At 41.4% G+C, this 16,620-nt stretch overlaps 1 protein-coding gene across 11 annotated transcripts in view, besides 1 other annotated feature; it reads left to right on the top strand.

Moving 5' to 3' along the window:
• Positions 2,081-2,210: a silencer, noted in NCBI's record as "silent region_9259". NCBI's record gives its function as "represses an Ori minimal core promoter by ATAC-STARR-seq in GM12878 lymphoblastoid cells {active_cell/tissue: GM12878}" and the evidence as "EXISTENCE:reporter gene assay evidence [ECO:0000049][PMID:35858748]".
• The window catches only part of DLGAP1 (DLG associated protein 1), a 959,276-nt gene continuing 944,885 nt past the window's right edge, over positions 2,230-16,620 (top strand). For all 11 annotated transcript variants that reach the window (NM_001398527.1, NM_001398526.1, NM_004746.4 and 8 more), the window contains exon 1: positions 2,230-2,531. The gene's annotated coding sequence lies outside the window, so the exon portion shown is untranslated. The remainder of the gene's footprint in view (positions 2,532-16,620) is intronic.

The following is a 16,620-nucleotide window of genomic DNA, read 5'->3' as shown; positions in this document are numbered from 1 at the left end:
ACTGAATTCATCTAATTTGAGTTAGGGCCTGACAATGATACTGACCTTCTTATTTATGTGATGTCATTGGAAGAATCTATGGATTAAACGTGGTTAGATACCAGGATTAAGCTCTAGTATTCAATAGTACAGCAGAGGAACTATATAGTTTAATTTATTGTATATTTCAAAATAGCTAGAAGAGAAGAATTCTAATGTTCCCAATACGAAGAAAAGATAAATGAGGTGAGGGATATCCCAATTACCCTGATTTGATCATTATGCATTGTATATATATACCAAATTATTGTATCTACCTGCAAAATATGTGCAACTGTGATATATCAATTTAAAAATTAGAAAAGAAAATCTATTAATTAAACATATTTACAAATCTGGAAAGGCAAATTTTCCAAATTATGAAGGCTATTATCACATATCAGTATTTTGCCTTTTCAGGGAATCCGATTTGAAGTGTCCCTATAATAATTCTTTTTTTTTTTTTTTTTTGAGAGTCTCGCTCTGTCACCCCGGCTGGAGTGCAGTGGTGTGATCTCGGCTCACTGCAATCTCCACCTCCCGGGTTCAAGTGATTCTTATGTCTCAGCCTCCAGAGTAGCTGGGATTACAGGCGCCCACCACCAACCCAGCTAACTTTTGAATTTTTAGTAGAGATGGGTTTTCACCATGTTGGCCAGGCTGGTCTTGAACTCCTGACCTCAAGTGATCTGCCCATCTCGGCCTCCCAAAGTGCCAGGATTAGAGGTGTGAGCCACTGAGCTGGGCCCCTATAGTAATTCTTGAATTGTCTGAGAATATCTTTTAGATCATTGCTAAAGCGTCGGTGCTCATGATATTACAATGCTGAGAATTTACCTCCATTTAGTGGTTTCAGTAATTGTTATTTTCTTTAATGGAAAATCACTCAGTGAAATTGCAGGAAAGAGGTTATTTATCTGAGTCATATTTTTATGAAAACTGTTTTTCACTTCCTTGCATTTTTAGAAGTGTTGTCTTTAAAAGGATATTCTATTAATATTTATAATTAGACATCACACAAAACAGATGCTAAATCTTATGCTATAACTTCTGGATAAAATTACATAAAGATTATGTACTTTTTGGCATAATATTCCCTCAGGAAGCTGTAGAACAAAGGACATTCTCCATGAAGATGCCATTTCTTTTTTTAATAGAAGGAAATAATAAGGCAGTGATTAACCACGATTATTTTAACTACTGTAACGTTTGCAATTAAGTGGGCAGCGCAGGAGCTCAATAAATACTTAATTGATTTACTTTTTTCTCTCCTTGACCCACATCGCAATTCACCCACTCACGCCGCTATCCCTATTCTAACTTTGAAACCAAGTGGATTCTCTCTGTTTTCAGTTTGTGGAAGCGTGGTGCTCAGCCTGTGTGGAGGGGCCTGGCTTCCAAGTGTACTTGGGGTGGAACCTGGGGACTTTACCGAGGGCACAGGTCAGGAGATGAGATTCGTTTCGCTTTTTGAATTACCTTTTGGCCTGTACCAAGATGAACTGGTGGGATATATAGTGTCATCGAACCCGGGAGAGTTGTTGTGGAGGTGAGGAAACAGCTCTGAGGGATAACGGTTTGAAAGTAGTGGCGCTGGGGACGAACATGGGTCCCTGCGAGTCTGAGACTCTCTATTGCCCCCATCTCCTTGCTGCCGATTACTTCTTCAAAAATTCTCCTAGGGACCCTGAGGAGGGACGGGAGAGGTCAGCAAACCCTCTGTCCACCAACTTGATTTCCTGTGATACAAAGTGTCATGAGTTCTCCTGCTTTCCTCCCTTAAAAAAGACAAGATTAGGAACAACGGCTGGCAAGAGAGGAGGGGAAAGCTTAATTCTCCACAGATGCTGCGCAAGGGAACCAATGGGTCACGCCCACTCACGGGTGGCCGCCTCTCTGTTCCATCCCGGGGATGTTGGGCTTTCCCCTCGGTCCGGGGCGAGCGCACTTCCCACCCGGAGACTGAGCGGGCAGCACTCGCAGGCCAGGAGCGCGTTCCGGGAGGCGCCGGCGCCTCCCCGCGGCCTGGGCGCACGTGCCTGGGCTGGGGCCGGAGCCCGCGGTCGCGCCGCGCCGTAGTAGCTGGGGCGGGTGGGAGCGGCTGGCTCCGGGCCGCGGCCGCCGCCCGCCCGCCGGCTCCGGTGGTTGGGCGGAGGAAGCGCGGGACTCCTCCTCCCCACCGTATTAACATGCACCCAGGGGCGGGTCACCAGCCCAGCCTTGCAGCCCCAGCCCGCCGCGTCCCGGCGCTCAGCCTCCGCTCCAGAGGCGAGCGCTGCGCTTCGGGCGCCGCAATCTCCAGGACACGGCCTCGCGGACACCTTCCGCCTCGGGGAATCGGCAGCATAGGCGGCGCGAACGGCCGCCGCCGCCTCGGCTCCTCTCTCGAGTCCTTCCCGTCACCTCGCTGAGAGCCGGTCCTGGTCGCGGGGACATCTCTCTCCTTCCTCCGAGGCTCGTGGGACCAACGGACGGACGCAGCCAGCGAGGGCCGGACTGCGGGACGCGGCCAGGTAACGCCGGGCTGCGCCGCGGGGCTGGGGCGTGCGCGGCGGCGGCGGTCGCGGCGCGCTGGGTGGCTCCTGGCTGCTGCCTGCCGCGCGGTCGCCGCTTCCCTCGCCCGCGGAGGGGCTGCGGGCTGGGCTCCCCCGGCCGCTGGCTCGAGAGTCCGCGCTCCTTACCCTTTCAGCCGCCCGGGGTGCACTCCCGGGCCCTCCGGGTAACCTGGGATCTCGGGGGCGAGCGCGTCCTCTCCGGCCATGCGGTCCTCGCGGCTCCCCACGGGGACCCAGGCAGGGGAAGGATTTCTAATTGCGACAGGGTCCCGGAAGGGGGAGGGGAGGAGAACACCGGTCCCCTGTCCCGGTCATGTCCACCGGTCAAATTCGCACCCCCACCCCACCCCCGATGCACCTTGCAGGGGAGGAGGGGGCTGCTCCCCGCAGGGCTTTCTCGGCAGGCTCCTGGGTCGTTTGCAAAGCAAGTTGTTGCACTAGCTTTTTGGGTGACATTTTGGCATTGTGGAAAAGGACCAACTCCCCCGTGCGTTTGTAAGAGAAAGCCAAAGAAACAGAGACACAAAGACAGGCACAGAGAGAGAGAGAGAGAGAGAAATGGGGTCCAAGGAGGAGGTCACTGGAGAGTCGCCCCCTGCCCGCGGCCAAGGCCAATTCCCGGAGAATCGCGGGGCGGGCCGGGAGACCCGACATTCAGCGAATTGAATGAGCCGGGCTGGAACCAAGGCCAAACAGGGACCTCTCCTCTGGGCTGGGCGAGATAACACATTGCACTTTCATTGAGGGGCGGCTGCAGCTGGGAGAGGCACCTTCGGAGGGCCCGCGGCGATGAAGACCCTGCTTTCAGGACTTCGGCTGCTGCGCTTTTTGCGGAAGGCGCGCTGTCCCGGCCTCGCTGGGTGGCACCGGGAGGCCGTGGGAAGGGGTGGCCCGTGGCTCGGCTGCCGGCGCCGGAGACACTGAGTGCCTGTGTCCGAGTGCCGCGCTCGCCCCCGGCTGCAGGGCTTGCCTCCAGCCCGACCGTAGCGCTGCGGAATTTTCTGCTAGAGAAGGGGAGGATGTGCGGAGGGCAAGGGGTTAAAGGTAGCCAGGCGGCAAGCAGTGGGACGCTGGGTGGGAGATGTCACGTCTTTTGTGGATCCAGGCGAGACTCTTCACTCCTTACTCCTGACACAGAGACTGACTCCCGGTCGTGGGAGGTGAATGCTCCCTGCCTCCTTCCATAACACGTGAAGTTAGGGAATTACGAGGAAAGACATATAATAAAAGTACCAATTAAAGACAGATCTTTTAGCTTTTGTGGTCTTCGTGAATGGCTTCGTAGAAGGTGAGGATAGATCAGTCTAAGATGTGGTTAGACATGGAGATGAGAAATGCTGAGAACTAGGAAAGCGATTTTAGGTCCTAAGGCAAACATCCTGCAAATTATTTTTTACCCTGAAAGAGCTGTTCTAAAAAGAACAGCCCTTTGACTGTTATTTATAGCACGATTTCAGTTCAGGAAACGACTTTCTATTGGCCTAGGTCATTTTGCATATAAAGCAATACTTTTTATTCCTTGAATAAAACTTGAACGGAAATGACATGGAGGCAAGAAATTTTACAAGATCCTAATTTATTTCATGCCAGAAGAATATAAAGTTTTCTTTAAGTTTTTAAAAGGAAATTCAAGCCTATAAAGAAATAATGAATATGTCTATGCAAAATGTATGATTTTAAAAAGTTTAAGTTATAAACGCTACCCTTGGTTCAGAAAATTCATACTCTGGCATGAAACAAGAAAGTTCATAGAAGTCAGGTGTCAGTAGCCCTGTTCTTAATTTCCTTTAGATTTAGTACTTAAATGTAAAGTTGTTTCAGTTGGTTAGTGCCTTGCAATACCCCTAGTCGCAGATATAAAATTCTGTGAATTTTTAAAAAACTAATTTACTTAAGAGAAAATGTTAGTTACCTTGTGTGAGTAAAGAAGAATGTACTTGCATACATAGATTTTTTTAAATTTATAGCTATCTATTTCTCTATATTTCATTCTAAGATTAGTCTGCAAATACAATACTTTATCTCAAACATTACAGGCAATATAAATATGGGCAAAAGGAACTGGTTAACATTCTTTTAAATATGTCAAAATAATTTTCTGACAAGGCTTCTTAAATCTCACACAAGCAATTGTGCTTTGGGGAAATAATGAGTATATGAGTTTTCCCTAGGAGGGAATTTTCATGGTTTAGCATCTTTAATTTCTCCATCAACATAAGCTTTGTTCTGCCAGGACTAAAAACCCAGTAAAAGCATATTAGCGATTAGTGAAAGCAAATGGAGACAAGACCTTCCTTCCAAAATATTATGTAGCGCATATAGAGAAATAGCCTAAAACTAATTGTAGTGTTCTACTTTTTAAATCCTTCTAAGCTTAAGTGTCCTATTCAACCCAATTTGGGAATAGAAACTGCATGCACTTTGAGTTAACTCTATTAAATATGTGTGCCTTTGTTCCATATAGCCATTTAGATTGATTTTTTTTAAATATAAAATTAAAACTTGGAAGAGGGGGACTTGTTTTACAAAGTACTCATTTTAGTGAATATGAGCAATATTCACTAATATGCAGCAAAGTAATAGTTTCATCTACAACTTAATCGAGATGAATACCATATTCTTTGAACATCAACTCTTTCAGAAACAAAGAATTCAGTGTTTTGATTCTGATCTCGTAATATTTCAAATTCAGAGATAATAGTAAAATGTTATCTAATGTGTATTTCTATAGTGAAATTTCTATGATCAGCTCAAATTCATGTTACCTTCATGACCATTCCCACAAATTGCTCCACTGTTTATCAGAGGAGAGGAAATTGGTTTCCTCTCAGGAAGCATCCAATTAAAATCTACTTTTATGTAGATTTCATCTCTATAGAAATCACACTTACCTCTCTTTTCTTAAATTAAGAAAATGATACAATTTTAGGTTATTTTGTTTATTTTCTCTTTTTCCATTGGTAATTATATTTCCCCTGGTACAGGAACACCATTGAAATAAGAAGGCTAAAAAGACTCTTGAAAAACCTAAACACGTTTCCCCAATCCTCACTTCTCATAGTTATAATCTATGCCTATGTCTGTGGTATGTTGGTCTTTTGTACATTTTTTTTATTTTAAAGAAACACTATCACAAAAAGATACTTTGCTAGCATTGTAGAAAAATCTTTATGTTGTTGTTGAAACACCTGAATGTTCAAAAACATCCCATATCTTGAGCTGTTTTATTTCCTAAGATCCTAAGTGCTACTAGTTCTCTATTTTCAGAGAGGAATAACTACAGTGTCCCTCAAAAGATGTTTTTTCTTTCTTTTTTCCGAAGCATGAGAATTTGTAGCTCGATTCTTGTTACTGCCCGATGAAGGTGACTTTCTCTAGTTGTGTGGTCTATCAGGAATTGCCAAAGATGCTGTTCCTAGGAAGATCTAAAACATTGCATTACCACAGAGGAGGATTTAGAAATAGTCTTCTGACATTCATTTTAATCTATTAGACACCCACAGATAACCGATTGTATGAGATACCAGGTACCAGTTCTTTTGCTTCTAAGATGTAACTATTTAGCTTATACAATGCTGTATACTGTATATTTGCTACACCTTTCCCTGTAACCCTGCCAAACACACACCTACAGAGCAAAACATGTGATTGAGAACAAGAAAAAAATGAGGTGTGATTATAAGGCAGTTAAAAAGGTGAATGACATCCCTTTGAGGTCTTCTGTTCTTTAGTCTGATTGTACAGAGGTTGGTATTGCACAGGAGCCGTGTTGACCCAACCATTTCCCATCCTTCTCTCTAGTAAATGGTAGGGGACAGATAGCTGTTGTATAAGTGAGAAACAGGGTTATCTTCATCCATTATTGACTTAAGATTTTTCCTGGTTGCTTTATTATTTTCTCCCTCCTATAGGAGTTAATGATTACTGGGCAGCAAGTAACATCCCACTTAGGAAAACCAGCTCATGCAAAAGGAAGCCCTGTGGATCTATATCCACAGATATTTGGCTCAGATCCTTGGACTTTTTCTTGGATAGACAACCAGCATAGCTGGGATGTGATTGTCCCACTGGATATCTAATTGTGAACTAGATATCAGTGTTCTGAATATGTTATGAAGATGCAAACCACCTTCCTCCCTCTCCCTAGGATTTGCCAGCAACCAAACTGTTCATTTTCATATTCACTTATCATGGTTTGCTCATCTGTTGCCATTGACAATTTCTCTGTCTTCTCTCAATGTTTTCTTATCAGATTTGTAAGCAACAGCACAACAGCAAACCACAAAGTGTGTGATTTGGAACTGCTCAATCTTGCCAGGTTTTCTTAATATTCAGCAGAGTTGTGGTCTTACTGAAGCCATGGATAAGCATTTGGATGAGGAGACATTGTGCTGTGACTTGCTTATCTCCCTAGCCTTGCATCTGAATCTCTGCACTAGGAGGGCTCAGAGACATTTAAATGGCTCCCTCAGGCGGCTTGTGGGAAGGTCTCTCTGGGCACATTTCCAGCTTTGCTGCTTTACTCTGGTGACACGGTTTTAGCTAATTTGAAAACATCTGCTAGAGTAACTTGCTGTTTTAATTCTACTACTGGAGAACATCTGAGTATGTGATAGGAGGACTGGCACTAACCCTCATTCTAACCTCATGATTACACCCTTTCCCTGGATACCCCTTCTTTCTTGGTTTCAATTTCAGTAGAAATCAGTGTGGAGTCTATTTCTGGACTGCAAATTTCCCTGCTAGATATCACTAAGATTTCTTTACAAAACACATGCTGCAGTTTCAGAGGAAAATGGCATTTTGATCTTGTCTCAGACTTTGCAAACAACCATTCTTTGATATGATTCATCATACTATACTAGCAAAAAGACAAGGCACATTCACTCTCTTCAAAGCTATTTTCGTGTAGACATTAACCCAGAAGGCAAAGTCACCTTTTCATCCTTTCAAATTAGGATGTGCTTTCCGTTTAGAGTTTGGGAGGGTCAGCAGGGGAATCTTGAAGTGGTAATGCATTTGGAAGTCTTTCCTGTGAATCCTTGCCTAGGTAGTTCAGATAAGACTCACTTGATTCTAGAGCTTCTATGGAGCAGGCTAAGAAATCTTTCCCCCTCTCCTTGGAATGCTGTTTCTTACATTGTTCCCTCTTTCCTGGACTTCAGCTGAAAAGTCATTTAATCAGGGAAGGTCTCCAGCTGAATGCTGTTTTAGCACTTTATTCCTTTTTCATGGTCCTTTTACGGTCAATAATGATGTGTTGACTTGTGAGTGTCAGATTGCTTTCCCCACTGAACTGTGCATTCCGTGAGATCAAGAACTAAATATAGAATGTTCACCAAATATCACTGATGCCTAGCACAGCACCTGGCACTTAATAAATGGTGGGTAAACATTGGTTGAGTGAATGAATAAACAAGTGAATGCACATCTGTATTCTTAGTGCATAAGGGCCATAACTCTGAGGATGGTGTTACACAGCTTTTGCATGGCACTTCTTTGCAATGTCAGATGCTGTGTTCTTTGGTCCTAAGTTTACTCTGTTAATACCTGGTAAACACTGAGCTGATCCCAGCCTGAATATAAGGTGATGGGCTACGCAGTGCTACATTTCCCAACTAGGCAACATGCACTCTGCTGGCAAGCAGAGGTAAGGTTTTGAAATACAATAAGGATTTTAAAAAGGAAGCAAAGAAAAAACAAACTCCTGTTCCCTCTTCTTCCTCCTCCTTCTTATTCAAAATTAACATATTAGTAGATTAATTGTCTTACTTTATTCTGACCCTTTAAGGCTTAGCATAAACTTCTTTCCTACCCCTCACCTCTTACATTGAGTTCTCCTTTTTGTGTCTCCATTGAGTCTGATACGTAATTATAACCTAGTTTTGTTTTTCATTTTCTGCGTATATGCCTGTCTCCCTCTAGGAGACCAGAAGCTCAAGGGAGACCAGAGACAGTGGCCCCTATGTGGTTTGTAAGTGGAAGAAAGCAAAAGTTCACCAAGGACTCAAAGAATAAATCAGATCACAGGGATGAGGTGGAAAGTGTTGTGGGAGGCAGAGAAGCAGCTACAACTGCCTTTCTTGCTTGAGGCTGATCTCTATGTAGGTACGTAGATGTGGGTTGGCTCTCACAGGGGAGACTGGAATCTAACATCTTTACTGATGTGGAATCACAGCCTTCTAGGTATTTTCATGAATTTTTTATACTAGTTTTGTTTCTGGCCAGACATGTAGTGTATTCTGTTCTACTATCTGCTTCTGAACTACTGGAATGATGTGGTGAGGTGGGCCAGCCTTGGGGATATGTTAACCTTCCATGTGGCACCCTGCTGTAGATACCACATCTACCATTCAGCTTCGAATGGCCTGTGAGGAATGGTGAGACAGAATGCGAACATGCACCATGTTTTTATAAACTATGGTGCATAATAATTCCTCTAGATTTGCATGTGCTTTATAGATAATTGAAAACACTCTGCTTTGATGATATGAATCCTAAGGGATCTTGATGATAGATGTCAGGTATTTTGGTAGGTATATATCCAGCCTTTCCAAGTATGGGCAAACAAAAAATATTTGTAACATCTCCTGGGTACTTATTACTGTGAAGAATATAGAAGAGCAAGACCTAGTTAAACTCCTTGGGTAGCTTGAAATGTAATACAAAGAATACGATTAAAATGTAGGAAATAATTAGTAATAATGGGTTACAGAATGAAACTGGTGCTCAAATGTACTTATTTTGGGCTTTTCTGTAGGAGTAGGGGCTCAACAGAGAATGAGATCATTTTGGAATGCTTCCAATAGGGAAGATCTGAAGCTAGATTTTCATGGATTTGTAAGACTTACATAGGAAGAAGGACCGACTTTCAGATAGAGAAAACATTTGCATAGACGTGGAGGTGCAAATGAACTTGGCATGTTCCTGGTCCAGAAGATGGTTCTCTCCTCCAGTTCCTCCACTTTAATTAGACCTGAAGATGAATTTGATTGAGAGGGTCATTAATGGCTATACAAGAATGTTTAGATTTGATAGGAACCACTGACAGATTCTGAATAGGCAGTGACGTGAAGAAGTGGCCTCTTGGACTGATAGGAGTAGATGGGTCTAACACCAGACTGGGACAGAGAGAAGCATGAAGAGGCTGTTTTAGTGAGGCTTACATTATTGGGAATCAAGTCCAGGGAAGTAGAAATGGGAGTAAATATTTTGAAAAATTTTCAAGCAATATTTGACTCTTTCCTTTCTCTTTTACTCTGTACCTGTGTCACACATTCTTTTTAATTCTTTATTATTCATTAAAAATTCCTGTGAAATATTTCAGGAACACCAAAAATTAAATAATATTATAAACCCCTTTGTGTCCACCACCCAGATGGTGAAATAAATCATTGCATACACTGTTGAGACTTCAGTGTACTCTTCATGTCTTCCCTCAGAGGGACTCAGCCCACTGAGTTTTGTGTTTATTGTTCTTATGCATGCATTTCCTTATTCTTTGCTATGTATGTATGTGTACCTAAGCAATATAGTCTTGTTTTGCTTTTTTAGACTATTTATAAGTAGTAATAATGCTCTTGTAGTCTTCTTTACCTTACTGTAATTGTTCAGTATTTTGATGACATGTAGATCTGATTTATTCATTTTTACTGATATATGGTATTCCATTGTAGAACTGTATCATGATAAAGGTATCAATCTTTGTTGATGGACATTTAAGATGTTTCCAAATAAGGCTGATGTGAACATTCACGTGTACATCACCTTGTGCTAACAAAGGGGACTCTGATTAGGGTGGAGGGGGATTGCAGTAGGGTAATAGTCGTATCTTCACATCTAGCAGATAATGCAAATTACCAAAAATGGTTGTACCTATTTATGATCCCAACAGCAATCTATAAGAACACCTTTTGTTTTATATCCTTGTCAACACTTGGTGATACATTTTATTTTTGGCCAATCTTATGGATATGAAATGATATCTCATTGTAGTTTTAATTTGTTCTTCCATGTCTCCTGGTAATGTTGATGATTTATTCCCTCTCTTTATTAATATTCTAGTTGCTGTGGATTCCTTATTCATACATGTTCCCCACTCTCCTACTTCTTTTTGTTAAACTTATTGATTTGTAAGAGCTGTTTATATATTCTGGATACCAGAGTTTTGTTCTGTAATAGGCATTTCAGTTATCTCCACTCAGTTGGTGGCTTGTCTTCTCATTTTTATGATGTCTCTGGATGAAAAGATTATGTTTAAATTTAAAATAGTTGCATTTTAAATTCTCTTTATGGTACCAATAAGATATGTTTGAGAAATGTTTTCCAATTCTGAAATGACAAAGATATTATTATTTAGTTCTTCAAGACTTTTATATCCATAGTTATTTTATAAAGCCTTTAATTACATTCTAAATTTAGGCAAAACACCCATCTTCTCTTAGTCTTAATTTCTTACTCATTACGTTAGAGAGCAAGGTGGTTGTACTGTATGAGTTCTGCTGCTGCTGCTGCTGCTGCTGCTTGACTTCACAACTTCATCATTTTATGCCTGGAATACATAGCAGCTTCTTAATGGGATGTCTAATCTCTAGGATCTGATTAAACTCACATCAAAATTTACTTTTCTAAAATGCTCTTGAGGTCATCATGAAACTCCTCAAACTTTGTCCTGGAGCCCCCCAAAAGAGCAACAATCCCATTCGCTAGTATTCCCCTGCCTACTCCAGACCCGAGTATGCCTAGAACGTGGTTGGCCTTCAGATGTGTCAGTGGGACGAGTGTGTGAAGACACAATTGGTTCTCATCATTGCTTACCCTCATTTCCTAATAATCTCTTGCATCAGCCTCCACCATGACCACTCCTGTTTGTCAGGGCTCTGCTGTTCCAGCTATTTTTCCTCTTTGTTTATTTGCATGTACTCAAGCTCCATCTACTTGATGAATTGTTAACAGTGGCTGCTCCTAGAGACTAGGACAAGGAGCCTCAGGGGTTTTCTTTCCCTTTCTGTCCTTCTATCTAGTTGACTGTTTTACCAGGAGGAAGGATTTCTTTTAAAATAATTGTTTTAATGTCCTTTGTATCCTTCAAGGCCCAGCCAAATCTCACCTCTCACAGCACACATTTTATGACTACTCAGCTGAGGGTAAACTCTTCTCTGAATTCCAGTTGCATTTATCTGGATTACTTACTTTATTATAATATTCACATTTTTAACATTTTATGTGAATATTCTGAGATTTTAAGCTCTTTTAAGTAGTGAATTAGCTGATGTTTTTTGCATGTCTCATAGGCTTGAGCCCAGTAGCTAGTAGAGTGACTTTTCAAGGGGTAGCAGCTGCTTTCTTGATGATTGGCATGGATGAAATTGGAAATCATCATTCTCAGTAAACTATCGCAAGAACAAAAAACCAAACACCGCATATTCTCACTCATAGGTGGGAATTGAACATTGAGATCACATGGACACAGGAAGGGGAATATCATACTCTGGGGACTGTGGTGGGGTGGGGGGAGGGGGGAGGGATAGCATTGGGAGATATACCTAATGCTAGATGACGAGTTAGTGGGTGCAGCGCACCAGCATGGCACATGTATACGTATGTAACTAACCTGCATAAGGTGCACATGTACCCTAAAACTTAAAGTATAATAAAAAAAAAAAGATGATTGGTAATTAGTTATTAGAGAGGGAATAGGGTGAATAGAGATTTGGAGTGTAAAGATATTGGGAGTAGTGACATTACTGGAACATCTAAGCATTTGGAATAGGGAACTGATTTGTAGTAATTGAGCTATATTTTGGTTATATTGATTTTTGAGATGATATTGGACATAGCCCATAAGCAACTTGGAAAATATTAAACTCGAATTTATGAAATGATAACATTTGAGGTGCTAATTAAGGAGTTACCTGTTGGAAGATAGTCAACAGATTCATGATACTAGTAGTTGCTTCTGTGTTCCAGATGGGAAGTGTTACTGCCTTCACAATCCAGATTCTACTATCATGATTCATCTAACTAGCTAGACGACTTTGGACAAATTAATTTTACTGAGTCCAGTTTTCTCATCTGAAAAATAAGGATAATTCGTCTTACATATCAAAGTTTTTGAAAGGCTTAAATGAGTCACCTTATGTGAAGTATCTAGTTCAAAGTTGGGTTCATGGTGAGCAATTAGTAAGTGCTATTAACCATACTGTATATTTTTTTTCTGCAAAAACCGATCTGCCAACCATCTTTTTACATCAAAGTACTACCAAGTAAAGAATTTAAAAATTACTTGTCTAGTCATGATATATTTTTCTGCTGCTGCTGAAAAATCCCTGTCTTATTATTTCATGTTCCTTTATCATTCATTTGATGACACTGACAGCAACTTGCTGAACAAGTTTAAGAATAGCTGATATTTACTGAGCAACCTGGACTTTGTACTCATGCAGGATACAGCTCTCAGTATTGCACTGCATGTAGGCTGTATGTGCTGTTCCTATAATGAGTAGAGGCTCATAGTCCCTCAGCCCAGTCCTGCCTGATATGGCACCATATGCTGTGAGGAGATTACAAAGGAAGTCAAAATCATGACTCTCTCCCCAAGGAAGATTTAATTGTGTTGATGAGAAGATATTCTCATGAAACAATTCAGTGCATCTATAGCAACATTCAAAATGTAAGTTTTAATTTACTGTGCTCAGAATACATATTTCTTAAGGTGAGATGGGATATGGGGAAAAAAATGAAGAGGCAACACTGAAAAGCAGTCATGCCCTGATCCTTAAAGAGGAGCGTCTCCCTCGTGGTCACAGTGGGCTCTAAGTTAGCTGCACACCGGCAGGTGGAGTGCACCTGTCTTCCAATTGCATTCACCTTCTCTGCCATCTGGGGCTTATCTTCTGCCTCTCTATTGTGTGTGTTCGGTTAACCCAGTTTCTTTCCTTAGAAGAAGGGATCAGTAGCTGAGCACATGTGCAAAACATAACTGGAACACTTTACTGATTGATTAGGTGGGAACATTCCACTGGTTTTCACTAAGGGAAAGGTTTCTGGGCAGTTATATCCAAGTAATTTGGGTTTTGTAGTTTTCTTTATTGTTACGGTAACACAGTATTTCACATCTTGTGGTTTAGGTTTAAAACCTAGAATAAAAGACAGAAAGCTTTTTCTCATGTCTTTATTTTCTTACGGATCCCTTTTGGGTAGCCATATTGGCATATCTAAAGTGACTTGAGTTGCTCCGAAGAGAGCTGATAAACACACACTTAATACAATTTAAATATCGGCAATACCAATTTACAGATAGGTTGTGTTCCAAAGGTGTATTTGTTAACTGAATACGTTTGGACACTGAACAGTATTTTCCCATGGAAATTGTGCTACACGGTAGTGACTGGCTTCTAACTTAATGACTTCTAGAGTCTTTTGACCCATTTTCTGTAAACTAAATAGTATTACTCTAATGAAAACCATGTTTAGGACCCTATATTTATGAAAAAATGAATTCTAAATTTTAACCAGGAACACATGCCATCCCTTCTGCTGCAGAAACAGAACTCCCTGGCTCTGCCAATGGTTGGTGCTAGATGATGCTCAGCCATCAGCAGCTCCTCCTGCATGAGTGTGCCTTGATCCAGGAACAGAACTGGTGAGGGGAAGTGGGAGCAAACAGAGCTTATTCATGGCCACTAATAATTGCTAAGTAGCTACATTTATGTAAACTTCCCTTTATTTGACTACTGGAACAAAGGAAGGAAAGGATAGTTCAGTTGTCCTTCTGTTCAGTTATCCTTATGTTCTGCATTGAGAACCAAGATATGTAGACTATTTATAAATCAGATTTCATTAAGTTAGGAGTTATAGACAGAAATGTATTCTTTTCAACTTTGGCAGTTTTTGACAAATTTTTCTATGTATTTCACATTCTGAAGATGTCCGCTATTGGAGAATGGCCATTGTCAATCCATTCATTCATTCCTTCACTTATTTGTTCAACCAAAACCGATTTATTGAATGACTACTATGTGCCAAGCACTATTCTAGGTGCTTTGAGTTCAGCCCCGAGCAAGAACATCAACAGAAGACAAAGGCATGCCCTTGTGGAGCCATGGAGCATACGTCCCAGTCGGAGAAAATAGAGATAATAAACATAATGCGTTTCTTTTAGAGTGTTAGAAAGGAATAACAGCTATAAATAAAAATAGAACCAGATCAGGAGGATTGAATTACTGTGCTCTGATAGATTCCTGGTATATGAGGACATTAACTTTTTTTTCTTTTTAAATTCAAACCTTCAGCAGAAATATTCTAGCTTTAGGTTTTGAAAAGAGGTGTGAAGCTACTTTTACCACTTTCTCATTCTTTGTCCTTTCTGTTTTAATAGTAGTCAGTATATCTAGTCTATATGTCTAGTACTCTACACATCTATGTAACCCCAGGTAATCTACTGCGTTGCATTATAGATACCTGTTACTGTATTTTGATCTCCCACTAGGTTATTAATTGTAGCATAGGGCGTATTTTCTACAAACTTGTATTTCTGTAATAATGATGCTAGTAGTAATAAATAATAGTGAGTATATTTTTTTGAGTGCTTAGTATACACTAGGCACATTATGTAAATAATCTCATTTTAACCTCATGCTCATCCTATGTAGAAAGTGATTTCAGGGCTGGGCAAAGTGGCTCACGCCTGTAATCCCAGCACTTTGGGAGGCCGAGGTGGGCGGATCATGAAGTCAGGAGTTTGAGACCAGCCTGGCCAATATGGTGAAACCCTCTTTCTACTAAAAATAATAATAATAAAAAAATATCCCGGCATGGTGGCGTGCGCCTGTAATCCCAGCTACTTGGGAGACTGAGGCAGAAGAATTGCTTGAACCCAGGAGATGGAGGTTTCAGTGAGCTGAGATCGCGCCACTGCACTCCAGCCTGGGCGACAGAGTGAGATTCTGTCTCAAAAGAACAAACAAACAAAAAAGTGATATGATGGTTTACAGAATATGTTCTCAGACCACAGACCTACCATGGGTGGAGCTGATAATTGAACGAAGGTCTGTTAGCGCTAGGCTCTATATTCTGCTGATGCCTAACCCAGTGCCTGACAATTGGTTGGCATCCGAGAATCGTAGAGTGAAATGGAAATCAAATAAATTGTTGTATTGCCGAATTGATAACTGTCAGAAATGTATCTCTAGTAGCATGCAAGATATACCCTCCTCTGGTTTTATTTCACTTCACAGCCTAGCTGTCCCAGAAGGTGATTATTTGGAAATTCTTGAAGTGTCACTTCTCTTATTTTTTCCGTAATTCTTTCCTACTGTTGCCATACGTCTTACATGTGGAGATGCAATAGAAATAAAATTGCTTCTGCTAAAATCACAACCTTTTAGTCTGAAGGCAAAGCTGCTTTGTTCTAGAATGCCTGCGGTATTAAGAAATCACCATGTGTCCTTTTATTTTTGAGTTTTACCATGATTTTTACTAGTGCCTACTTCAATGAGTTCTTCCAGGATGCAGGCTATTTTGATGACATCTTAAACAAAGGGAATAAGAATTGTCTTTGCCTTACCTTCCTTTTCCCACCTTTCTCTTCCCACTTGTCAGAGAAATTTTGCATGACAGAGGTGAATCTCTGTGGAACCTTCTAGGGGTGTGACCATCTGCTTGCCCTGGAGAGAATCAGTCTCTTCTTTCCAAGAAACGATCTGTCACTGCTAGAGAAACCTCAGCTCCCTGCTGCCCATTGAGTAATCTATTTGAAAGCATAAATGAACAGATACCTCAAAGAGAAAGAAGCACAAACACAGATGAGGTCTGCAATAAGGACACAATTTAGAGAACGCAATGAACAAGCCTGGCTTTGGTGCCGCTCAGACAAGAACTTTAATAGCAAGGGGTAAAAAAAGATGTTAGAATATCCTTGTGAGATATACCTGAAAGAAAGTTCTCATTGCCTCTTATAATTCTTTGCAATTCAGGCCGATGAAAGTAAAACCTTCAGTCTATTTAAGTAGACATTGTTAAATCAACATTGTTGTACCCTTAGCTC

The sequence above is a fragment of the Homo sapiens genome, chromosome 18 (assembly GCF_000001405.40).
Source record: "Homo sapiens chromosome 18, GRCh38.p14 Primary Assembly".
NCBI classification, from domain to species: domain Eukaryota; kingdom Metazoa; phylum Chordata; class Mammalia; order Primates; family Hominidae; genus Homo; species Homo sapiens.
Note: the sequence above shows the minus strand (reverse complement) of the source record. Positions and strands in the feature narration are given on the sequence as shown.